Source organism: Homo sapiens, chromosome 3, assembly GCF_000001405.40.
Source record: "Homo sapiens chromosome 3, GRCh38.p14 Primary Assembly".
Taxonomy (NCBI): Eukaryota; Metazoa; Chordata; class Mammalia; order Primates; family Hominidae; genus Homo; species Homo sapiens.
The window spans coordinates 71,044,019-71,069,830 of NC_000003.12; the positions used below are offsets into that span (position 1 = coordinate 71,044,019).

A 25,812-nucleotide genomic window follows, 5' to 3' on the forward strand; every position below is an offset into this window, starting at 1 on the left:
ATTCTCATCACACTTAACACAGAAGCAGTCAAATCGCTTTCCTCCATCAATGCCATATATCGTTAGTGATGTTAAACTGTTAGTTCAATGAGCGCTACCTACCAAAGGGTGTTGTTATTTGACAGCTAAGATCTCATGTTAGACAGATAAAAGGTAACCCAGTCACTCATCAGACTAAATGGATAACAAATTTCCAGAAAGTATGTATTTCTTCCAAAATGGTAGACTAAGAATAATAGTACGAAGTTAAACAAATCCATTAGCAGGTACATAGCCAAGCATGTAATTTTCTGCTACCTAGAGTTTACATTTTAAAAATTAAAAGGTCAGAATAAGACTGAAAGAATATTTCTATATGAAATTACTGGTGCTAGGGAGGATGAGATGATTAAAGAGACCAGGGTGAAAAGCAGATAGGCTAATTATGTAAAACAGAAAGAAGACCCTACAATAACCTTAAAAACAACACAAAATATCCCTCCATTTCCTATTATAAAACCTTCAGGGAAAAAAAGGCCTTCAAAATATTAATTCTCTATCTATTCCTATACTTGACATTTACATGTTTAAGGTTAACTCGGCAAGGCCATGAACAGGTATGTAAAATAATCTTGATGATTTCATTATGAAGTGGGCATTACCAGTATTTTTAACAGATAACCCCCAAGTCTTGCAACATTTCTTTTTCCAGGACAACTGGCCCCTTCATTATAAAAGAAAATGCAGGCACAGGTTTAAAAAATGTATGTTGTGGGGACAGATGACAGATTACTGTTCATGGAACTCAATTTTACAACCCCAGGTATCACTGGCTCAAAGACAAACAGAGTTGATCAACCTTTTTTTGTCCTTGTACATCCATACCCAGGTGACCATGTTCAAGCAAGCAGAAAGTTGATTTAAACCTCATAATGACATCAGTTTTAAGCCATCATCTCTCTGATAAAAAAAAATTGTGTTCTAGTCCAACATGACTGAATTCTCTAGCCACTTGAGGTGAGGGAGTGGGGGGACAAAACCAACCTCCTGATTCAGAGAGATGGAAATAACACTGGTAGTTCACTTTACTGCAAGAACCTGACACCAGAAATATTTATATTTACATTTATGCCATCTTGGGCACACACAGAGGCACCCCTTAGATTTCAAATATGCTTCTTCCTAATGCTGCAGGGGCTAATAGTTATAGCAGACTGCTAAGCCTATCAATCAATGCCATGACTAGTGAATTACCTACCAGTGTCTCTGATATGTTACTGCAGAGATTACACTTCATGCATCACCACATTCATTTCTTTCACATTACACATGAGCTTGTCTTGTCACTGCCCAATTGCCCTCTTTTGGACAGCTTAACTGATGTACTATAACAATGAACCTTAGTGAGCAAACTTGATGAGAGAGGTTGGAGCTCAAGTCCGGTAGGTGTGTCAGAACAGCCTGCCATATTTCCAACAATAAACCCAAAGGTGTAATTAACACACGCTATGACATTCTGCAAGCACAAAAATGCATTAACTGATGTACATATATATATTCTTTCTTTTCTCCTTGTATTGCTCAGTTACGACATCTTCTATTTTGACAATGGAGATGCTGAGTATGTATCAAGCAGCTGAGCAGTCATGGCAGAAAGGAGTGGAGGGGCAAGAGAGAAGTTAAGAGGAAAAAGCCCTGGTCTCGATACTAAAAACAAAATCAGCCTCATAAGGGACAGAAGTTGGGTGTGGTGGACTCAAGGGAAAAGATTCAAATGCAGACATGCTTCCCTGACTTCACTTGACACCAAAAGTTACCAAACAAATGGCCATGCTTTAAGCAACACGAAGGAGTTTCCACATTTTTAACCTTCTTTAGAAGGCAACTGAATCCAAGACAGCAGTGGCTTTAGCTATCAGCCTTTAAGGTACATATAAACCAACATCCAAATCTACTAGAGTTCAAAGAACTGCTGCCCTTGAGGAGGCAACTCAAATCTGCCCTACCATGCATAGATGGAGGAATTGTGTTTCAAAACACAGGCATGGCACTTTCTACTTTCTCTTTCCTTCCTGCCTGCCTGTCCGCCCTCCCTCCCTCTTGACATCCCTTCCTCCTTCCCTCCCACCTTCCTTTCTAGTTCTGAATAATCCATCTGCTTTCACATTACATATGTGAAAGTCAGAGTTGCTTAAACCAAGAGGATGTCCTAAAAACACCTAGAGTTCCCATTTGTTTCTGATGTCCATCACCCTTGGGATAAAATGTCAGTGGGCTTTGTAAAAGAAATTTACTAAATGTATAAAATCTTACTTTTCATGTGATCTCAGTTGTTGAGGAACTGGAGATGGAAGTGGTACCTGTTCTGATGAGTGTAGAACTAATTTGCTCAAAAATCAACAGATGAATGCAAAAAGAAAAAAAAAGGAAACTAAACAAAGTTTTCCTTTTTATAAGAGAAAGTGGTTGATTTCTATCGTTTACAGAAAAATAAACCTGAATTTATCCCTAGATATTAAAACATGGCATTTATAAAGCATTACTAAGATTTAAAATAGCACATGTTACATGGTATAAAATGTCTTAAATGAATAATAAAAGCCCTCAGGAAAATTCCTTTGTGGTTCCAAACAGAAACACTGCAAGAGTCCATTAAAATGCTCAGTAAGTGAAAAGTAGCGCCTCATTCTCTTACTCCAAGAGTGTCCAACAGTGGGATTGCTCTGTTACAGCTAAGCCTTCAGACCACCCTGAGACTTCATTTTGGCATCAACAAGCATTTCACCTTCTACATGGGTCCATCATTATCCCACTCCACTTTTCTTAAAAGAATCTATGTGCATGTTTTGATGGACAATGTCCTTAACAAATATACCAAGAGACAACCCACCACCTCCACCCAAAGTCTTCACAGAGCTATGCCTTCTGTAAAATCAACGCATACCTTGAGCAAGAGGTTGAAGGGGAAGGGCAGGCTGCCCGGGCTGAATTGTCAGAAGGCCTTGGCGCTGCAAAGACAGGAGGTGCTGCTGCTGTAACTGCTGCATCTGTAAAAGCTGCTGCTGAAAAGCCAACTGCTGGGTAGCCACCTGCTGTTGCTGTAAGAAATCAGGAAGAAAAAATGAGATGGCCACTTCCCAAGGAAGGTTAAAAGTATGGACACTTCAAAACTCACCATCATCATCAAATGCTGAGAATGGTCACTGGAGCTCAGTGGAGGGCTCCGTGTCAAGGTTTAAAAGGGACAAAGCATACCTCCTCTGAGGAGGGGTGGGGAGATGAGCGTGTTATCTTTCTACTGCCCGCTCCCATAAACACATAATTCGTCCATCAAGCCAGCTTTCCCCCCAGTTTGAAAGGTCTGAGTTTTGTCATCAAGATGTAAACTTTTAGACTTTGAAATTTTTAATTATGCACACTAGAGAGAAGACTGCATCACTCTAGTCTGAAGGGGTCTGAACCCCGAACCTTTGAGGTGTAAAAGAACAAGTTGCCTCCCTCCCTGCCTGCACCGGCAGAAGCTTTTAACTACTCTGTTTATCACTTCTGACATAAATAAATGAGAAAAAATCAGACCTTTGAAGAAGAAAAACTTCATCTAATATTGTTAATTAGCCATGACAAACGATGAAATAACATTGTAAATCTTTCACAGAAACAGCCACTAGATTTTAATTACACACATTCATAATTTAGCAAACAACATCGTACTCGACTGTGAGTTTAACATGAACGACAGTCTAAGCTTCAGATGCCTTAACATGGCTTTAGTCTCAGAAACTCCCAGGTCTGGTGGCTTGTCCTGCTTCCCCCATCTGCTTTGTTCTTGAAAAGAAGGGGCTTTACGATATGATAAATATCTTTTTGTTGATTGGACAATGACAGGAGGAAAACTTTTGTTGTGTAAAACATCAATACATCATTCCTGTGTTTAGCAGGCCTTGCTTCAGCCAAAAAAATTAATGTAGATTTCCTCAGTAATTATCTGAGTGATAGAAAGATAATACAGTGCAGTAGTACAATAAATAGAAGGAAATTATCTAATATCCTTAATCTGCTAGCAATCGTATCGAGGTGGAGGTCTTAGCCACATTATGGCTAACAATTATAAAAGGAAAACTAACCCTTCCCAAACTGTAGCAAAAAAAAAAGAAAAGTTTCTTCAAGAAAAGAACAAGATCAGTGTTCCTAATTCTGAGTATGATTCAAAAGATCAGAGAGACTTTTACAACTAAAAGGACTATCCAAGCCCTTTCAGAGCTTACATGTTCTGGCTAATAACTATACTTTACAAACAACTGCATTCACTTAACCTAACACATGACCTTGATCTGATACATCCATAAAATGGTATGTATATCAAGACCTTCTGATGCAAAGTTCAAAGAAAGAGAAAAATGGTGGTTTCCTTTCGGTCTTCATGTAGTTTATTTTACAGTAAAAACCATCATTCTCATATTAGCAACCAATTTCAGACTTACTACCATGCCACTGAGAAAGTTAATTGAGTTTCACTCCAAAAAACAAATTCTATACCACTAACAACAAAAATTTAAATAAATTTAAATGAAAAGCCAGTGTTTTCATTTTAAGAACAGCATGCATAAAATGATCCAATTGTTTTCACCCCTTCCCAAGTTATCACATTAATGTAAAACCCAGTGATAGTTATATTCATGTCAAAACGATTTTTTCACTTCTTCAACAGATATTAACTCACAACATTACAAAAAAAAGGGAAGAGAAAAAAACAACATTGACACAATAAAAGATCAGGGAATTAGCTTTTCTGAAAGCAGACTATAATGGGGGGGGTACAGCTGGAGGTGGGGGAGGGTGTTTCCTGCCTTACTGTAAATGAAATGTTTAAAAATTTTGTATTTATGTAAAATGACTGATGCCTTTTCTGTTGTCTCTGTGGCCATCCCTAGGAAAAAGCTCATGAAAGCTGTCTACGTTTGAAAAGCCAGGATATAAAAGTATACAAGGCCCATTGTCCAAAGAAAGAATTTAAAAGCAACACCGGTTGCCAAACTGCGCTCCCCACCCAGTTACCAAACACAGGATACGGGTCCATTTGTTTACTTCTCACAATTGAATGCATACAAAAAAGGTCTCCGTGCAGTCCCCTCGGCAGGTCAGTAGTCAGTGTTAAAATGCTAAAATGCCCTGATAAACCTCGAGTTTCGGATCCCCTCCCTAGAGCTGCAGTCAAAGGTCTGTTTTCCTTTCTTCGGCTACTCCCTACTGCCTAACATAAACTGTCATAACTGCCCGGGACAAACGGCCCTTTTAAAACAATCAACTTAGCCTACCTCACCCGCACAGGATGGAATCTTTTTTTGTAGCTCGATTTAAAATGAATTCTGCTGTCTATTTTCCTCACCACTTCTGTCCAATATTCATGAGCAGTCACTTCAATAGCTGTATTGGGCCTACATCCTCTCTTCCTCCCCTACCTAAGAGCACGTATCTTCTTAAGGAAGGTCCTGTCTTGGTCCAACCCAATATGGAGCCAAACTTTCCCAAGGAAACATCTCAAGGCAACTTTAGGAGGGAAGGAAAAAAAAAAGAGCAAAGGTACATCGTTCTGGCCAAAGATCAGGTGTCTTATTGCAGAGGTAATCAAAACAGGAAAAAAAGGGGGTGGGGGGAGCCTGACAATATAAAATTATGAGCCGCTAATGACTGGGGACTCAGTAAATTAACATACTTGTTCCATCTGTCAACAACCAAGTTCAAACCTTGTTAAAATCATAACCACCAGTCCACATCATGAAAATGCTACCGTGTGACTCCATCTCATTTTAGCACAAAAGGACCACCACCTGCATGATAATTCCAGGAGACTGGTCCCTACCTCAGGAAACTACAGATCTCCTAAGCATTGTTACCCTGGGTCTCAGACAAATCCACTGGCACCATGAATCCAAGGAGACCCATCCACTGGTCTGCCTACCTCAAAGGATATTCAAAGCAACCTATCTCCTGGGTCACCTTTGCCTGGGAAGTGGATGACAAAGCATGGACCACAGCAAACCTAGCGACCTGGAGATGCAAGAATGTTCCTACAATGTCTTGCTTTCTCCTTGTTTAGACACAAAGTGTTCTCCTTCTCCCCTACACTCCCCACCCCCTGCCACTCCCTTCCCAAACTCAGGGACCACTATCATCTTTGTGCTCTGAGATGCTTTCCTTTCTGACAACAGCAATTTGGGAGAGGTAACTTTTATCCTTCTTTCTGCTGTGTAACTTTCCCCTTCCCATTTCTTTATGTGCCCTCTGAGCTCATCTGAACTTTCATGTTCTCCCAGCATGCAGACGTGCATTCCAAACTATGTCTCACAGACCAAATAAGAGGTTAATAAGAAGTGGCAACAGAAAGGAAAAACGCAATCCCTGGTAACTGATAAGAATGACAGTGGCAGCCCTTTTTTGTTTGTCTTCAAATATAGAGTTAAAGATCTTTAAAAAACTAAATTTTGATGCCTTTGAAAAGAAAGAAGCACAAAATAACAACAGGGGGTTATTGCCTGCAAGCCACAGGGGAGAAACTCCATAATTCTTATTCTCCCTTTTGAAGGCTGTTAGCAATCTGATTCAAAAAAGCAACAGCAGAAGGGGAAACCTCTTGAGGCTGTAACCATTTCCTGTGATCATGCATAATGTGCTTCAAAAGTGGGTTTTTACCAATTCTGTTGATCAATTGCACCTCCTTCATACCCCTTCTTTTTTCTGCTGTGTTTACATCTGATGTGACTCAATGACAAGCACTGTCTGAGACTGTGAAACAGGCCTGTCATGTTGATTTATGGGCGCATCAAACCACAACTTGTCCAAACTGAAGCTCGCAGTTCATTAATTAGAGAGTTGTGACTTTGAAGTCAGCTTTCAGACTGTGGTTTTTAACATTTGGCTTAATTTATATGCTCTTGAATGTGGATCTCTAAGGAAAAAACTGAAATTCCCTTCTTGTCTTTGAACTTCTTTTGACCGCACAATAATCATTTCTTTGTCCAGAGTGATGCCTGCAATCCCAGAGTCATTAACGCGCATTGAACTGCCACTGATGAGTAAGCCCTGCTGAATTAGAAAAACAGCCAGCAAAACAAAGCTGAGAGCCTTCTGCACAGTGATATCTCACAATTACATGCCTTCCCTCCCTGTGCCATTTCCATTTTAATTACTGTTAGTCCTTTAGATTTACATTTTAGACACTTTTTAATCTGTTCCCTTTTTTATTATAGCAGCACCCGGTAGAGCGCCACTGTACTTAAGGTTGTGTCAGCATTTTCATTAAAACACCTCCTCCCCTTCACCCCAAAACTGCCCCTACTCTGCAGGGGTTTACATCCGGCTGCTCAACAGGACTCCAGGGTGAAAACTTGGCAGGACATGGAAAACGTCCCCAATTTGTGTCAAGGGAGGAGGCAGCAAAGGGAGAATGTCTGGGTCACTCCCAGGGTGTAAAATTAGCACAGCCCAGCATCCTCACTTAGGTGAGGGACAGGGACGTCGAGTCACCTGGTAAGACTCCCTGCAAAAGAACAAAAGTGGCCACCTGCTTAGGGCTGGTGAAGAAGCTGTTAAAGTGGATGAGGTGCTGTATATAGAATTATAAATTGTGTCATCCCAAGGAGAACACTTAAACAAAAAGAATTTTCAGTCCACTGTAAAAATATGAGGAGGCAAGTTAAATTGGATAACTCTGGAATGGGTAGAAAGATGTCATAATAACGCACACATGCACACGGATACTCCCACAACTGAGTCTCACCCACGCAGAACTGAATAGAAGGTGAACTGGTAACTCCCTGGAAAGAAAGGCCTTATCATTTATGGGACGAATGCTGTCAACCTTCATGGTGTGGCATAATGTGATAAGTTATGGACACTACCAAGCGTGGTGCATATAGAAGCTATTATGATATACTTTTCTCCACCCTGCCCAAGAAAACACAACCCAAGCTGGAGTCTTCTCTAACTTCAACTCATGCTCTCTGGCACATGCCTTTAGCAATTACATTATGTACAACTTGCAGGAAGAAGTTAAACAAAAGATGTGGATGTTTAATCTTGTTCTAACATTTTTGTTTGTTTATCCAACCTCACAAGGGGTTATTCTTCCAATGGAAAAGGCCATCACCACACACCCAAGCTCTGTGAGCTGGGGAAAAAAAAAAAAAATTAAGTGTGCATCCAAGTAAAATTTTCCTGAAAGCACTTCACTTCTCCCAGCTCCATCCTGGCCCTCAGTTGTTACCAGGTTGCAAAAAGTAACCTGAAGACTCTGTCAACGATGCCTCTCCTGCTCCTCACACAGGTACACGTGCAGTGGTGTTATAAAATATGTGGCAGCAAGCAAATGGAACCCAGAAAAATCTGAGTGAAAACAGGACAATAATTCTCAGTCTGAAAGCTGAGAACCGATAGAGTCAGCTCAGTTGTGCAATCATTTAAAAGATGAATGACAGTTTAATAGCCACTAGATAGTCCTCTGGGATCTGTGGTTTGAAAGTAAAATATGTATTGTCGGTACCTCTTTAGGCTGTTTTCCAGCATGTTGTTGTTGTAAAAGTTGAAGCTGCAACTGTTCCTGTTGTTTTTTATAAAACTCTTGAAGCTGCTGCTACAAAGGAAAGAGAGGACGGTAAGTAACAGAGGGTAGCGCCAATCCACTGTCCCTTTTGGTGCCATACACAAACTGTGATTTGAAAAATAGCATCCTTTTATCTGTAATGGCCTGACCTTTAGTTTGAAACTCGACAATAAATTCAGCGCACACTGACTATTCTTGGCATTATTGTTTGAAAAGTAATCTCCAAAATGAACTGATGAAAAACATACCATTTTCTACACAAACTAATTAAAATAAGGCAAAGAATGACCTTTGATTGTACAACAAAGCTGAAATGCCCTTGCTGAGAGAGTCTGGTGAATCTCTTCTGCATGCTTTCTAAATGACAGGGCTGGGCACTATGCAGTGTTATTCAGTGTGTGCATGGACAGCCTGGGAGCTTCCGCTGCATCCTGTCCCCACCACCCCAGGCCAGTGACTCCCAACGCTGTAGTTCCGAATCTCATCTATTTGGTTCAGGTGGCTGTGAAGTCTGAATATTAGGTCCCCATAGTGCAATGACAACCAGAAGTTCATTTCAGCAACATCGTATGTGGAAGAAGTAAAATCAACTCTGGACCTTAAAATTAGCAAATTCTAGAATGCTTCTTTATGTTTAAAGAAAAAAAATCTGTAAGCTTCTGAGTCGAAATGGGGACATCAAGAGCTGTCATATTTAAACCACTCCCAACGTGCTCCTCATTTTGCTTTGATTCACACCATTTAGGAGCCATGTAAACCTAAAAGATCTTACTGCTACCAAGTCCAATTACAGCCCTGATCTCAGTCCATCGGGTACTCTCCAGGCCCAAACACTAGTCACCATGGCAGGGCTCCTCTCTTTTGGGCATGCAAAAGCACATCGATTATTCAGGGAGTGGTCTGTGTCCTGCCCCACCCACGCTGCTTTACTCTTCACTGAGCAAAGGAGCTGCTCTGGTGGAGGGGAGATTGCGAATGGAGTGATGGGGGCCCCTGGGTTCTGGGGGAGACAGGCTGGAGGTGGAGGAAGGACAATTACCTGTTGAAGCATGAGGGCCTGCTGCTGCTGGAGGAGAACCTGGAGCTGCTGAGGGCTCAGCACTTGTTGCTGGAGGATCTGCTGCATTTGCTGGGGAGTGATAACTTGAGGTGTCATCATAGCCACTGACACGGGAACCTAGAATGTTAATGAAGGATAAATAGGAAGCCAGGAAATCAGAAGCACGCAGCCTCCCAGGTTCAGCAGCTGACTGCCATCAGCCTGCTTAAAGAGTTGACCAATTTCCCATGCAACATGTATTTATCCAGAGGGGATGCAGCAACAGATCCTATTTAATCTATCATGGAGTTTATTTTAAAGAAAGAAAAGTAAAATCTTGCAGTACTGATGGGGGTTCCAGGCAGCCTTGCAAGCACACAAAAAGGACAAACTTAATAAATGCTAACTGGAGTTAAGATACGACAGTTCTCAATTGCTTATTGAGAGTGAGTTTTTGGTCAAAACCATCTGTGGGAAGTTAACCCAGACTTGAATTTTGTTTGAGAGAAGACAAATGGTAACCAGCACCTTTGCAGGTGGAGCCCATATGAGCACACTTGCTCTGTGGACAGTGATTTTAAGAACAACCAATCAATGCTTATACTTGCTGGGAAGGGAACCTTGGACACACCTTCCGAACTTAAACACAGACCCTTCGCATGATGCCTTTTACTCTTCCTTATTCACCCAGCACACAGATGTCTCAATTCTTTCATATTATGTGCAATACCATTAAAACCCGCTTTCCATGACATTTCAGTGACAAACAGCTACAGTGATGAACTTGATAGCATTTCATATTTGCAACTGTTAACACGTTTCTGCACGGGCATCTTTGCAAGGAACCTGCACACTGTATCTGAAAGGATGATGTCTTGTTCAGATAAAACACTGACATTAAAATGACAGGCTGTCTTGGCCAAGGTTACACAAATTGTATTCAAGCGGATACCTAATGACAATGCTATGAATTCTGCAAGCTTTCTAGAATGTAATTTAGCTATTCAAAATAATCACTGCACTTGTGTTTAATTTGCAGACTACATGAGACCCATTTTGTCAGTCCCCGTAATGCAAGAAGACTATTTCATGAAAAATCACCCCCCGCCCCAAATAAAAAGATAAGGAAAGAAAAAACAATGAAAGAAAAGACAAAACCTGTATGTCTTCTAACCGTAATATTTAAGCATCTTACTTTTCTTTGGTTTCTAATCAAACATGTGACAGCAAGAAGCTAGAAGCAGTAAAGGATATACTTTGTTAAAAAGGATATGCTGTCATCTCATGTATTACAATAAAAGGTAATAACATGTTTTGCACTTTGCCTGTGTGCTACTTAAAAAAAAAAATCCGGCAGACAATAGCTGATCAGAAGATAAAAGAATTAAAAAATCTTTCAGGGGAGCAGTAAGCAAAAGGCAGAAATGCAGTATTAATTTTATGTAACATAATGTCTTAATATGCAGTTTATCCTGACTTTTTCACATGATTTGTCCTGTCATTTGCATAGCGAGCTCTCATTCCTAATTTCACAGTCATTATGCACTGATGTCCCGATTTCTCAGCATCACTAATTTTGATGAACTAAAAATGGTTCCTGAAGGTCAGATTCATGCACAGCGAATGTTCTCCACTGTTGTTGTGGGCTTGTTTCATGTGTGGGGATGTTGATGTGCCAGTGTCGTGTGTTTGGAAAACACTAGTTAGAACATTCGAAAAATTTCATTAACCCAGCTCTGGAAGGTCATCCATGAATTCTTCCTATTCCAGTGGCCTTTTAAGTGTAGATGTAGATACACTGTAATTTAAAACAGATGGGCATGTCTGAATATTTTCATATGCAAAATGGGACAGATGTATATGAATGGATAAATTACCCTTTTAAAAAGATAATTTGTAGCACGAAATATCACCAACGATTGGAACAGTGAACTCGCATTCAGTTTAGGGCAAACACCAGGAAGACATTATCAAAACATCTAACCATCTACAAATTAATTCCAGTTAGTCTACTTTGTCTTCATACAGAAGAAACTTTTCGGATTTTTAAGTATCTTTTGGGTGCCAATCGGTATCCTTTGAGCTGCTAAAGCCAGCGTATCACAATAGAAGTTTACTTTTCCTTGAGAGTTGCATCATCATACGGGGAGGTTTGATTAAGCAAACAAAAGAACCATGTTTAAGGTTTCTTTTTTCCTCTGCGTTTCTTGGATGATGTACAATATAAATATTCTTGAGCCAAATTCTGATGGTGATGAACAGGAAAACAGACAGGAATAGGGTGGTGTAAAATCTAAACTGGTGATGAACATGAACTTAACAGAGTTAGAGCAGAAATCATGATAGAAATAACCTCCTGGTCATCGTTTTTAAAAGAGCTATAGAAACCTTATACTAGAAAGGGGCACAGGTGAACTTTTGGGGGCGATGGAAATGTCCATATCTCGAGTGAGGTGGTGCTCACACACGTGTATACAATCGTCAAAACTCTTCCAACTAGACACTGAAAATCAGTATATTTGAGCGCACGTAAATCATCCCTCAATAAAACTGATTTTAAAAGTTACATATGTCTCCTAAAATACTTTTTCCCCTTAACTCAGGTAAAACTAGAAGCATCTTCTTAAAGGAGAAACAACATTGTCCCTTAACTGTCAATAATAAAAGGGGGAATCATGGAAAGGACTGACATATACCTGTACAGACAATTTTTAAAGGCTGACATCAAACCAGTGGCTTAAATCTCCTTTTCCCATAATCATTTATTCATTTTTTTGCAGTTACGGAACAGGATAATGAACTTGAGTCTCCCCTTCTTTTTCCTTTTGGACATTTTGATGGAGGTGCTGATGAGTAATAATATGCTTTACAGCAGCAGGCACTGCCAAAGGAGGGAAGGAAGCAAGAGGCCTGAGTAATCCTCCAAACGGGCTGATCACTTCTGAATAATCAGAAGTGGGCTATTATATCCTGATGGCCTTAACTTCGCTTTTACTATCTGAAACCACGTTTTCATGCCAGTTAGCTCTGGGCCTCCAAAGTGGGCTCCAGCTTCATTTACAAATGTTATAAAACCAAGATTTCCCCAACGTTTCTGTTCTAACATATCATGAAAAGAGGTTATGGAAAAGCTTTAACAAACATATTCAAATAGACCAGAAACTATGGTGGGGTAGAAAAGAAATTAAAAAAAAAAAATCTGAGCAGTTTTTAAGGCTTTAAATAGTTAAGAATTATAGCCTATATATCCACTCCCTTAATTCCCAACGTCCAACTTTTTCATGTAGCTAGTCCCTACTAACACTAGGAATCAAAGGGCATGCAGTACCAGCGAGAGGCTATTACAGCCCACACTTTATTGCCCATTACTACTGAGGTCATTAGCGGCAAGAGTGATTGTAGCAGTCTTAACCTATTGATCACTGTAACTACTATCATTTAATCCTGTGTTGAATGTCTGGAAAGCGGCTAAAGGCACACAAGAGAGAGTGCTTTAGCACTGAGAAATATGGCCAAAGCTTCAAAATTACACTTTGATTCATAAAATCTAGCCAGTGGTTTAAATCAATAGTATTTAAAACAGTCATGTGAGTTTTTAACTACAGCTCTCTAATATTTATGGGCCCCTCTTTAAAAGTATTCAGTAAAAACGAAACTTTTTTTTTTTTTTTTTTTTTTTTTTTTTTTTTTTTCAGATTTCATGCCTTCTACCTTAACCTCCTTGAGATAACAACATTCATTTCTGATGTTTTCTGTGCTACAGGGTTCATGCCTTAACTGGGAGTTCAAGCTAATTCTTGATTTCTTTCTCAAAAGACGATTTAAATATAAGGCAAAAAAAAAAAAAAAATTTCCGATACTGTAACTACCTTAACTGTTTGAGTATATAGAAATGAGTATGTTTTATGAGTTAACAATGAATCATAGAAGGCAATTTATGAAGAACTAGAATGATTCTGTCTAGCTGCCTTCAGGGATCAGAAATTCAAATTAAACTTCTGGCAGACATTTAAAGAATGCTAGCATACAAAACTGAATTTAAAAAAACGCACACAGTTAACACTCCTCAGTGGAGTTTCAAGAGGAAATCATGAATTAAAAAAACACACGGCATGATACACTGTTGACTGATACCAACTGGGTGTGGTCGATCCCAGGTGCACCCAAACCTGCGGGAATGGCAGAAATACAGCTGTGCTTGGGCCATCACAGCTCTGCTAGTATGGGCCTGCTGCTACCTTAATACCAGCAACTGGGAAAACGGTGTTAGCACTAACAACTGCTGCTAAAAGCCCATACACACTGCTGTGTAAATTCTGCCTGATACGGTTTTTTCTTCAAAATGACTCTCTATCATCTGAATGCTGAAAGACTATTAAAATAATATGCCATATTATTTCCTTTAACGCCCAATGGGGAAACGTAGATGATGGGAAGGGAAAAATCTAAAAAGCAAACAAACAAATAAAAACACTCAGAGAAACAATACTTATTTCTAATCTAGGAGACAATTGAAGGAATTGGGTGGGAGGGGAGAAGACACAATATAAATACTGAAAATAACATGTTATCATTTTCTTCTCTCTTCAGTTTACACTCCAGTCAACTACAAGTAAATACTACCTAGTACACATACACATAAATTTTGCACGTTGGGTATCATCTCATAATTACTGTGTATACAAATAATAAAAAGAGAAGATAAAAAATGCTAAACACTGTTTCATTTTTATTAATTTGGTTAATAATTTAGAAACTCTTTTTACCCTCTGATCATTCACCACATGTATGTCCCAGGAAATTCACTTCCGTTCTAGCCTTCAGGCTGTATTTGGGTGATAACTGACCAGGTTTGGCAGTGTCACCTGGTTAATCAAATAGCAGGAGCAAAACAAATTAAATTAGAAGGCTCCAGAATGTCACAACAAAACCAAACAGAGAAAATAGCTCCATTAAAAGAGAGAGAGGAGAAAAAAAAAAAAAAACTATGCCAAGTTTTTTATGACCATATACAAGCTAGCCTGTATAGAAGAAAATTAAACATCATCACCTCTGGCCCCCTGTGGAAAACAAGTTTTCATAATTAACAAGTCAATGGATACAACAGATGTATTGGCAAACAGAAAAGTTAGAAAGCTTCTATTTCTCCATGGTATTAAAAAAACAAAACAAAATGAACCAACCAGGTACCATGCAAGTAACTATCATACAGGAAAGAAAACACACTTCTGATATAATATTTCGGTCTTAAAAAAATAAAAAAAAAAAAGCATGCTATTTATGTGGAAAGTAAAATTCTGTTTCATTATGGAATTCTGCTTTTTGTATAACTCCTTTAGGCTTAGCTATTTTGCCACAATACTGTACAAAGCACTAAGGCAGGTAATGGTTATTATATTAATGCAAAATCATCTAGGTAGTCAGTCATTAGCATAACAGTTCTCTCAGTAACAATACAACCAACTATTAAAAATTTTTTTTCAAAAGACCTCTTTAAAATGCAATTAGCATTTCATTTTTTATCATTTTGTTTATTACATTCTATCAAGAAAGGCTATCTTTCTTTCACAAAAAAATTGTAAGGCCAAGGCTCGCCTGCCAATCAGGAGTTATTTCAGGTTATCAACCCTAATAAGCAATCTCCAGCAATGCTCTCCGAGCTCTTCTTTTTGTCTTTAAATTCTAAAAAGTGGCATAAATGCATATTTGTTTACAGCAGAGGTATTAGTGGAACATCAACTGCTCTCCTCTAACATTTCCCAGGCACACAAGGTTACTCCACTAAGTGCCAGTATAATTGTTTTAGCTCTAATAAATATCAGCTTCATTTGCATAAAAATGTAAAGTTTACATAAATTAAATCGCTTCTCCCATTAGCAATTGTTAAATACAGGAAACAATGGAAGCTACACATGAAAATAATCACTCAATAAGCACTGATTCTTTCAACCTAGCAACTATTATTATTATTTAAATCAAGAAAATGCCTTCTCTTTCCTACTTCAACCACTTTCTCCTGTAGCTGGGATGGAAAACAATTTAGGGCATGTGAATTAAACATGCTAATGGCATTTTATATTAACAACAACAACAAAAATCATGTTTAAGTGCTGCAAATGGGAGGAGGGGAGGACTATTCCAAGAAGGTACCCCAGAAAAGATTCTATCCACAGATCTTTAGTTCTTAAAGGGAAAAGGAAGAGGCCTTGGCTAAATAAGTTCTCTTAAATTGAAGTATTACTCAAAAATAATGAAAGAGACAGCAACTGTTTCCATCCTACCTGAGACACATACATGATTAAAATAAATAAAAGATAACTTGTGGATACAGTTTTAGATCAACAGTTACTGTTAAATGAAGAAAAACATAATGTCTATCTTCTGTCTAAAGAAGATTTTTCTAACACTAAGAATTAAATTTGTAGCTCTGCTTTCTCATGATTTAATCAGCATAGAAAATTTCATAGGGAGCTTAACTGCAAATATGTATTTTTTTTCCCATATTACTGAAAGGGAGAAGGGACTATAATTGAATTTCAACACATAGGTAGGCCAAAATTAGACCATTTCCGAAGTTTTATAAGGCCTTACTTAGGGTGCAATCACTCTTTAGAAAGAATTACAACTCAACTTTCTCAAATTGTAGTTTCTCATGCCTATTTCCAACACCTTCACCTTATACATCACAGTTAAGCTAAAGGGTGCAAATGAGATTCTAATGAGAAAACATCACTTGCTTCTTTGACAATCTCACCATTCACTGATTTATTTATAATGAAGACAAAGCCCAACCAAAAGCTTCCCATAAGTTAAAGGTCAAAATATGTTCAAAAATGCCTAGTAAAATCAAGGCAAATGGGAAACCCGTGCAGACCCGCCTCATGAAGTGGTGTGACAATTAGAGTAATTGTACAAAAAGCCATCTTCAGGAAAAAGTAAAAGAAATTAAGCTGCCACAACTGTAACAGGTTAGATGAAAAAAATCAAAATTTAATGTATTCTCCCCTGTGTCATCTTGTTTTGTCAAGACATCAAATAGAATTGGGAAGTACAAAATAACAAGCCCTTGAGAAATCACAGAAGCCGACCTTTTTGATGTTGTTGATTTACCTTGTTCTCAGTTATTTGAACAATGATGTTTCAGATTTAAGGGCAAGATAAAGCTTAGAAATTAAAACATGATACCAAGGTATTCTAAAAAGCTCACCATAACATTTAGCCTGCATCTTCATTGATTAGTTGCTTTTAACCGGATTTGAAAATGAGGCACAATGTATGTGTTCAGTATTCATTTTTCTCATTCGAAATTAATTTCTCCTCAAACAACTCACAGGTTGGAAGAGGGACTCAATGAAGAGCATTCCTACAATCCAAAAGTAGAGGCCCAGATTAGCTCTTCTCAGATAATTCAAGTCTCCACAATCTGCAAAGGCTTGTTTAGCTAAGAGATACCTGAGTTTTCTTTTTTAAACGAAAGAAAATAAGGCTGAATGCAAAATGTCACTTGGTGGGGGTGGGAGGGAAGTATTGCACGCTCTGAAAGGACTAAAACAAGAGTCCAGAAATACGCTGCTTCCAAGAAAACAAACCTTTTATCAAACAACAAATTTAGCTTACAGTGTTAAGACTATCCCCAAATCTAGCCATACAGATACACATAAAGCTACCCTTTTGCCCCAAGAGAGCTACAGCTCATCACCAATGTAACTTGCAGTCTTACATGAAATGTTACGTGCAAAGATACATGAAATCAAGCTATCACAAGACAGCATTCTCAACTTTTTTATGTAGGCAGTTCCTTCTACTCAAGCATATATATAAATCAAAAACTGCAGCAGTTAAAACTATCTATTTGAGGCACTAAAAGTAACCTAATATTTGCAAGCGTTATAATTTATTATACCTTGACAGTTAATAAAGCTGTTTAATAATTCCTTGTCACTGAATGCATATTTTAAAATGTAACACACATATAGACACAATTTATGTATTTATTTACTCTAACCTTCTCGATCAACTGTTGCTACATTATCCCTTGTTTGCAAATCAAGGAATGATGAACTACCTGAAGTGGAATCTAACTGACCACTACATTTGCCTAGTTACCAAGAACATGGTTTTCAGGTTCTCTTTAGTGATGTTCATCTACAACTAAACCACATAATAAAATAAATTCCTCCAACCTTCGTTTTTGCCAATTCAAATTTTACTCAAATGTTAGTACAGACTGAGAAGCTAGTCACAACATTCTCTCCTGATTGTCTCAGAAACATAGTAACTCAAACAACGTTTCTGCCACATTAACCAAGACAAACCTGAACTTTCATTGTTTTTAATTAATCTAGATTTTAATTTCACCGTATCTTCCAATTGTGTGGAGGTTGGCTGAAAAGTTGTAGAACTGGTCAGTGTCATAAAAGAGTTTATCTTTCAAGTGACAGGTCCTGACAACGTGTAAATGCAAGGCAGTGACGGTGAGGGTTTTGTTTTTTAAGGTACATTAAACTACAAACAACAAAAAAAAATTCAACCATTCCTATCATAAGCTTTCTGATGATTTATGGTTTACCAACTGAGCAGGGTTACGCAACACTGCATGCCTTTAGATGCATTATTTCAGCTAGTTGAGATTTAATTAAGATCACAGCCTCTAAAATCCCTGTCAAATGAAAATTCAGAGAAGACAATACACTATATATCCTCGTGCAGAATGTTTCCATTCCATCCCTGGAAAAATATGAGTTAATCCGCGTTTCTATGGCTGCAGACAAAAGTTCGCTAATTTTGTTTTCTTTTGACACTTAGGTTGTTTTCTATTACATGTCATGAGATCATTCCCTTCCAGAGAAAGAAGAAAAAAATCGAGAGTGATACATGTTGCAGAAAATGCACTTGACATTATTAGCCGACATTATCATAGCTTAGCCATGATGCCATCACATTTTCATGTAATCAACCCATGCTTACAAGTTTCCTTTAATAAAATGTTTAATAACACAACACAAACAGAAAGCCTACCTTACCTAAATTACTCGGATTAGATAATTGACATGTTATACCTCTCATTTCCTTAACTAACCAACTTTTCGTCAGACAAGCTGCACATTTGGGCAGGAAACAAAGTTCTTAAGGCAAACGGGTGAATATAAAGCCCATTACTTTCCTTCTATAAGTCGTTCTTAGGGTTAAAAAATAATCCTCAATAGATTTCTTTCTTAGACGCTGGTATTGACCCATACTATTTTTTTAAAGAAAAAAATGTATTACTATGTGCCCCTTTACCTAGTCAAATGTATTTTTATTTGCATCTTCTTAATATTTGGTTGCTTATCTCATGCCTTAGAAATGACAGGTGCTTGCAGTCTCACTCTTGACAGGCAACTACACAAATAACTGTCTTGCCTGAAAGGGCTAATGCAGTACTAATGAACAATAAATCAACTTTGATTATCAAGTGTCAGCCGAATGCGTTCTCAGTTCAGCTCTATCACATCCTACAGTAAGTCAGCCAGTGTCTCTGGGTAGGCAGTCTGTATTTTGGTTTCATTTTTACACACTTTTCACTGAAATGTGTCAGGCAGCTACAAAGAATCACATAAAACAGATATAGACCTTTTCTCAATTTATGCAAAGGGCATCAATTAGGACAACGTGCTTCTGTCTTCAATTGATTTACTTAGTGGTCAATCTTAATAACCAAGGAAGCTTTGTATTCTTTTAAACAACAGTAACAGCAACACACACACATCAAACCCTAAACTAGAATCTTAATGTGATCATGTTCCAGCTCTTTGGCAGTGACATGCTAGCTTGCGCTCTTTACCACATAAACCACCTCTGATTGCATCTATACATTCCTCTTGGAAAACTCGTTATATAAAAACAAAAACAGCAAAACAGGGCCGCTTTTAAAATAAAAATGCCACTTGCTTTAAACTTTAAAAAATCTGGCTTAACACTGACTTCCTAATGATAAAATAAATGTAACTTATTTTTTTTCTTAAGCAGATTAGTCATTGATAGTATGATTCACATTTCCTGTTATCAGGCTTAATTTTTCCCCCACATGTGTCACTTTTAGAATGCTGGAATCTATGGAAATGAGGTGATTTGCATTTTAAAATTGGTTTGATTAGAACATTTGGTTTGTTTGGACAAAAATATAAAATTACTAGATATTTTACTTGTAACTGCCAGGACTTGAAGGAGTTAATCCCAAAGAGGAAGAGTCTATATGTACTTTGCTCTAAAACTTTACCACCCACTTCCTAAAGGTCCTCTCCTTCCCAACACCGTACTTGGGGAGGAGAGGGGTAAAAAGTCCCGTTTCCACTGACCGTCCTTCATGCAGTTCTGACAGTTGAGTTAGCTACATTCAGAGCCGGTTCAGCTGGGAGTACCCCGTGGCAATTCCTCAGTCTGCTGCACGTCCAAACCCAAACCCCGCTCACTACTTAATTAACCAGCCAAGTAATGCAACAGAGGCTTAGAATCCCCAACCTGCCAGAGTGTTCCATTCGCTCGCTCGCCTGCTCCGGTGTGGGGCTCTGTGCCTCTCCCTCCCCCTTTACTGTGTGTGAACTCGTCGAATTTGAACAGCTAAGCTGAAAATAGCCTAGACAGATATAGAAACAAACTATCAGAAGCAAAGAAACATCCACATGGGTTACACTGAGATGGAAGGCTCCTTGTATATTTCACACGCTCTGAAAGTGACAGAAATCACACCCCAGATACGTCCCCCGAACGGAGTGATGGCGAGGGCTTCACCAAAGTGGCTGCGTGAAGGCCAGACCGGCAGAAAATGAATCGCAAACGAAAAAGAGAGAGAGAGAAACACACAAGCAGGACTTCCTCCAACTCTCAACTACACCCCACCCATGAACATTTAAAAAAAGAGAGCGAGAGTGTGAGCCAAAGAGCAAGGGGGGTGGGGGGGTATCTCTCTCCAGGACCCACAGGCCTGCAGCTCCTTTTTCTTGCCCCTCCACTCCCTCCCCGCCTCCACTTCCAGAGCGCAACTCCTACCCAACTTGGTAAACAGCGAGGATGAGGATGATTTTTTAAAAGACTCAACTTCAGAACCCTCGGGCTCTCCTGCCTTCCCCAGCGAGGCCCCCAGGAAGCGGGCGCCGCGGAGCCGGGGGAAGGAGAGCGAAACCGGCAAAGATCAATCAGAAGGACCAACCTGACACTCTCCATGTAGCCGCCAGGCGCGCGGAGCCGGGCTCGGGGCGCCCGCGCGGGCCGGGCGTGGGGTCCGGCGGCCTCGGCGTGCAGGCGGACTGCACGCGCGCAGGGGCGCTCCGGCTCGCGGGCTGACAAGACGCGCCGCGCCGCGCCCACCCGCCCCGCCCTGCTCCACCAATCACAACCCGCCTCTAAACACCCCGCGCCGCGCCGCGCCGCGCCGCGCCCCACACAATGGGCTCCGCGGCCCGCGCCCCGCGCCCGCGCGCCCCGGCCCCCTCCGCGCGGCAGGTGAAATCACGCTCGGGTGCCACCCTGCTTTTGTCTGGAGAGCAACTCCACTTAATAGCTGTTAACCCGGTGACCCGCCTCCGGCTGACGTCTGGGTCGGCCGGGCTCGGCGCGCACCGCTCCCTCTGGCCGGGGCTCTGCGGGGCCGGGGCTGCCGGCGGGGCGGCGTGTTTGTTTCGTCTTTGAGACTGACAAAGAGTTGTCCTAACCTTTCCGAGAAACCCGGGAGGCCGAAGAGGGGCACCCGGCGCTCGCGGCGCCAAGCCGACTGCTCCGAGCAACTGTTCGGCTTCGGGAGGGTACGCAGGTCTCCTAGGCAGCGCAGAAAAGCGCTTTTCCTCGAAAACCTCCCTGGGAGGAGAACTTTCGCTTCACGTCGGGGGTTTCACAGAGCCTTGGCCTCCCCACACCCCTTTCTTTCCCAGAGTCGGTCTCGCCAAAGTGTGCCAGTGCGCACCGAGGAAAACTAAGCCGACGCGGGGTGGAAATAAATAACAACCAAACGTGCCTCGTCGCTGAACCAGGCGACTTCCCCTCTAGAACGACAGCTGCCGAAGAAAGCATCTGCCACACGTTTGCTAAGAAATAATTCTTTAAATTCCTTTCTTATTTATACAACAATAGCAACAACAAAAGCTACTCTCAATAAGCACTTTAGGATGACCTTCTCTATTAGAAATAGTCACTGCTCTTTCAGGCTATTGAAAGCTGAGTATAGTGTTTTTTTAAAAAGTCAACAATGTGCTAAACTTTGTTGGCTCAACTGACACGACTTAAGCGTCAGGTTAATCTAGTCCATTTCGGCGACTCTAAAAAAATCACCTATTTACCACCTTCAAACTTGGAGAAAAACTTCCTGGCCTGTATATTTTTTAAAGACACACACACAAAATCCCCACACACATTTTTATTCTTTTTCTCAAAATATTAGAGGAAAAGGAGTAGTGTGACATCAATGAATGCCTATTTGCCTTCAAAAAAAAAAAAAAAAAAAAGGCAACAAAATCTGACCCAGTAATCCCAGGAATTTTACTTGAAAGTACATTTTGATGTGAAGTGTATTAAATGCAGGTTACTACAGACCAGAAAGAATATTGGTAATATTTCCAATCAAGCAAATGCCTGAATTTCAACAGGGTCAGCGGGGAGCAGACAATTCCCTCTTTACTCTGGCTGTAAAAGAGACAAGCGCGAAGTGACCATCAAAGTATGATCAGATGTTAAATGGGCACAGCGCAGATCGCTCTTCACCCTAAAGTGTTTTTGTGTCAGATACCAAATTTATTAATGGGATTTTTTCAGGTCACAAAATGTGACCCCACCCTCTCATGAATATTCAACAGAGAACCAAGGGCTCTTTTGCGAGGTAGAAGGACCTTAAATCTGCCAGAAAGTCCCCCGACTATCAGTAGAGTTCTGACTCTTAAAGAGAAAAGGTGCTCTTTCCGGAGGGGCTGGCAGAGAGCCCCAACGGCAGGAAATACAAATAAAGGAAGTGCTCTCCAACCAATGTACAGGGAGAAAGTGGAAAGAATCATTTCAAAACGCCTAAGTGACTTTCTTTTTCCCAAAGTATTAAAATTGAGTTTTAATGTTTATAAACAAAAACTGGGATGTACTTTGAATATGCAATGTGTTTTTATTTTAGAAACTAAGTTCTTCATGAGGCATCCATAAAACTCATGCATGCTTTCAGAAGGTGGACTAACTCCTTAGCAGGTCAGTGTTTATCAGCTAATAGTCTGCAGGTGCATCAAAACAAACAATAAACAAGCAAACAACATTACAGACGCTCATGACCCAGCTGTGGAGACAAGCCTTAAACAAAATAATTAGAGAGTGATGCAATGCAGTGCTTACTCAACTACTAAATTGCACGGTGGTGGCTGTAAGCACCATGGGACCACAAAGAAGGAGGAGATCACTAGGAGGAGGGGTCTGGGAAGGCCCACTGGGGAGGTGGCATTTAAAGGCTGATGGTTTGGGTAAGGGGGAGGTGACAAAAGAGAGAGGGAAATGGCTTGGCATACTAACTTAGAAGCCACCTGGAGCCCATCTCGCCCTGTCTCCAGACAGACAGATGATATGGTGACTCAGAGACTACTTCTGGGCAAGGAAATGTCCCATCAGTGATAAACCTGGATAAACTACATATGCCCAGGCCACTTTGGTTAATTCTAAACTCCTGTGGTCCTGTGTACTTGCCCTGTATTTGGGATTCAGGAAGAACTGGAACTTCCATAAGTGGAATATAATATAAAATGTTAAAACCAATAGTAACTCAGAAGACTTCGTTAAAACCATTTATTAATCACTGTGAGCACCAGGTCATTTTAGAAAAGCTGAATAAGAAAGGCCAACAAAAAAATTTTGGATTGTGGGTGTTTTAACAGTCTCATGCAGTTGTCATAATCTGAACACAAATTCCAGCCCTCATTGTACAGAGGAGGAAACTGAGGCTTAGAAAAGCAAAGTGATTTCTCCCAAGAATTAAACATGGCCAGGTGCAGTGGCTCATACTCATAATCCCAGCACTTTGGGAGGCCAAGGCAGGAAGACTGCTTTGAGGTTTGAGACCACCCTGGGCAACACAGTGGGACTCCGTCTCCAAAAATACACACACACACACACACACACACACACACACAATTAGCCACGTGTGATGGTGCATGCCTATAGTCCCAACAACTTGGGAGACTGAGGTGGCAGGATCACTTGGAGACCAGAAGTTCAAGGCTGCAGCAAGCTGTGATCGCACCACTGCACTCCAGCCTAGGCAACAGAGCAAGAAACTGTCTTAAAAAATAAAAAATAAAATAAAAAAAAAATATATACTACAGGCTTCCAAGAGGAAGCAGATACTGGATAATTATAAAAAAAAAAAGCCATAATAATATAAAATGAATACCTGTGGTGGGGGGGAGGGGATATCGAGGGGTAAGCCAACGTTTAAGGAAGAGTAAAGGAAATGCTAAATACCATACTTTAAAAATATTTTTGATGCCCACATCCTAACACCCACAACAGATACAGCTCTTGTTCAAACACCACATATTAAGAAACCTGTCAGTTGCTAAATGAGTCCATTGTGCAGCTGGCTGTGCACTTAAGAACAGATTACTATGATCCCACACCAAACTCTAACCACCAAATAACACACCTGGGACTAAAATCATGTATTATATTTGGTTCTGCTGAGCCTTAGCTTTGAACACAGAAGAAAGTGAAAGGTTTTACTGCCCATTCAGAGCTGAGAATGGAGATAAGATGTATTAAAGGAAGAGTCAGGAGGAGCGTCTCCTCAGGACATTATTCCATACACTGATGAATGGCCCTGTGGTGAGGCAGATACAGCAATGGTCCCTGGCCCACGTGGTCCTCAGTTCCAACGAAAGGCCTGCTTTGCCAGAAGCTGCTTGGAAATAACTAGAGAAAGGATACGAGCATGGGGTGAAAAATCAACTGTGTGATCAGAGGCCAAAACCTTAATTCAAGTTTGCTGTCTTCTTCTGAACAACACTTGTGTTAACACAACACACATTTTCTTTCCCCTTTCCAATTAATTTAATGGAGTATCCAGGACATATTCTGAAATGACAGAACTTAAAGAGATTCAACCAACTGATTCCAATTCCGGAGAGAGAAAGCTAAAGCAACAGGAATACAAAATGTAAGCCCAGTAACATGCCTGATGGCCTACTCAGGAAAGCGCGCCTCCCCAGAAGGAGGACTGCTTTAAGTATTTCTCCAAAGAATGGCAATGGGGCAGCCAATTAGAGTTACTAAATTGCAACAGCAATGCCCCATTCCTGAGATCTGGGGATTTGTCTCCAAGGAACCACCATTCTGTCTTGATTTAAGCAGTGCTTTTACTTAAAAATATAAATTAATACATCATCCATCTACAGGGAGCTAAGGCAGTTAGCTCCATATTGATATTGTTTATGTCACTGTTATGCATATGTTGACAATGAAGCTAATTATGTTGTTTTTCTTCTGTGCCTGCAAGTTTGGCCAAGGGAAAACACTGAGTTCTCACTGTTCCATAGGAGTTTAAATTCCCCTTAATGCATCTTCCAAATTGCCATTTGCATTTTCATGTAATGCAACATTTTATAAAGCCATTGCTTCTGGTTAATTTGTATATACACAGTGTGACATGTCAACATTCAGGTGACTTGTAAGTATGATGAGCTATGGAAAACATCAACCTAAAAACAAATCCCTTACTCTAAAAGCATTCATAAGCATCAGAGGTAAACAAAATCATGACAGAAAAGAAAAATGACAACATCCTTTCCTAACTCTGCATTTGACAGTAATAAATTACCCTCTCTCATTTATGATGAAACTATAATCCCCTGTTTTAACATAATGTAAAATTTGTTAATGGACTGCTTCTGCCATGGGGTTAGAACAGATTACACTGAAGTGTGCAAAGTTCTTGAAAAGGTACATGTTTTGGGGCAGTAGAGCATGTCCCAAAGTGCTGTACCCTTCAGATATCGGGGGGAAAACATCACTGCCACCACCACCACCAAGTGTAATTTGTTATTTCCCTCCCGAAGAGTGACAGTATTTTTGGCCCACCCACAGGCAAACCCTCGATTTTTAAGCATAACCAGAAATGGGGCACTGAAGGGGAAAGAAAAGACGGCTCTTGGGGAATGAAATTACATTTTAATTTTTTTAACGTTTACTTATGTAGAAATCG

General features: G+C 40.1%; 1 protein-coding gene across 18 annotated transcripts in view, besides 3 other annotated features; it reads right to left on the reverse strand.

Annotated features, from left to right (window-relative positions):
* The window catches only part of FOXP1 (forkhead box P1), a 629,271-nt gene that overhangs the window by 89,311 nt on the left and 514,148 nt on the right, over positions 1–25,812 (reverse strand). For 11 of the 18 annotated variants that reach the window (NR_146142.3, NM_001244810.2, NM_032682.6 and 8 more), the window contains 3 exons: positions 9,618–9,755; positions 8,519–8,608; positions 2,924–3,077 (listed from right to left, as the gene is read on the reverse strand). Coding sequence is in view for 16 of the 18 variants with exons in the window: in NM_001244810.2 (NP_001231739.1) it covers positions 2,924–3,077; positions 8,519–8,608; positions 9,618–9,755 (382 nt within the window). In the remaining 2 variants the exon portion in view is untranslated. Of the gene's footprint in view, positions 1–2,923; positions 3,078–8,518; positions 8,609–9,617; positions 9,756–20,805; positions 20,907–25,812 lie in introns of those variants that run through there. The other 7 variants (NR_146143.3, NM_001349341.3, NM_001349343.3 and 4 more) reach the window with 4 other exon arrangements.
* Positions 5,988–7,682: an enhancer, noted in NCBI's record as "VISTA enhancer hs965". NCBI's record gives its function as "enhancer in: limb[5/7] | other[6/7]" and the evidence as "EXISTENCE:transgenic organism evidence [ECO:0001131][PMID:17130149]".
* Positions 6,860–7,423: an enhancer, noted in NCBI's record as "NANOG-H3K4me1 hESC enhancer chr3:71100029-71100592 (GRCh37/hg19 assembly coordinates)". NCBI's record gives its function as "activates a minimal SCP1, AML or CMV promoter by ChIP-STARR-seq in naive H9 embryonic stem cells {active_cell/tissue: H9 hESC(naive)}" and the evidence as "EXISTENCE:reporter gene assay evidence [ECO:0000049][PMID:30033119]".
* Positions 21,082–21,582: an enhancer, noted in NCBI's record as "H3K27ac hESC enhancer chr3:71114251-71114751 (GRCh37/hg19 assembly coordinates)". NCBI's record gives its function as "activates a minimal SCP1, AML or CMV promoter by ChIP-STARR-seq in primed H9 embryonic stem cells {active_cell/tissue: H9 hESC(primed)}" and the evidence as "EXISTENCE:reporter gene assay evidence [ECO:0000049][PMID:30033119]".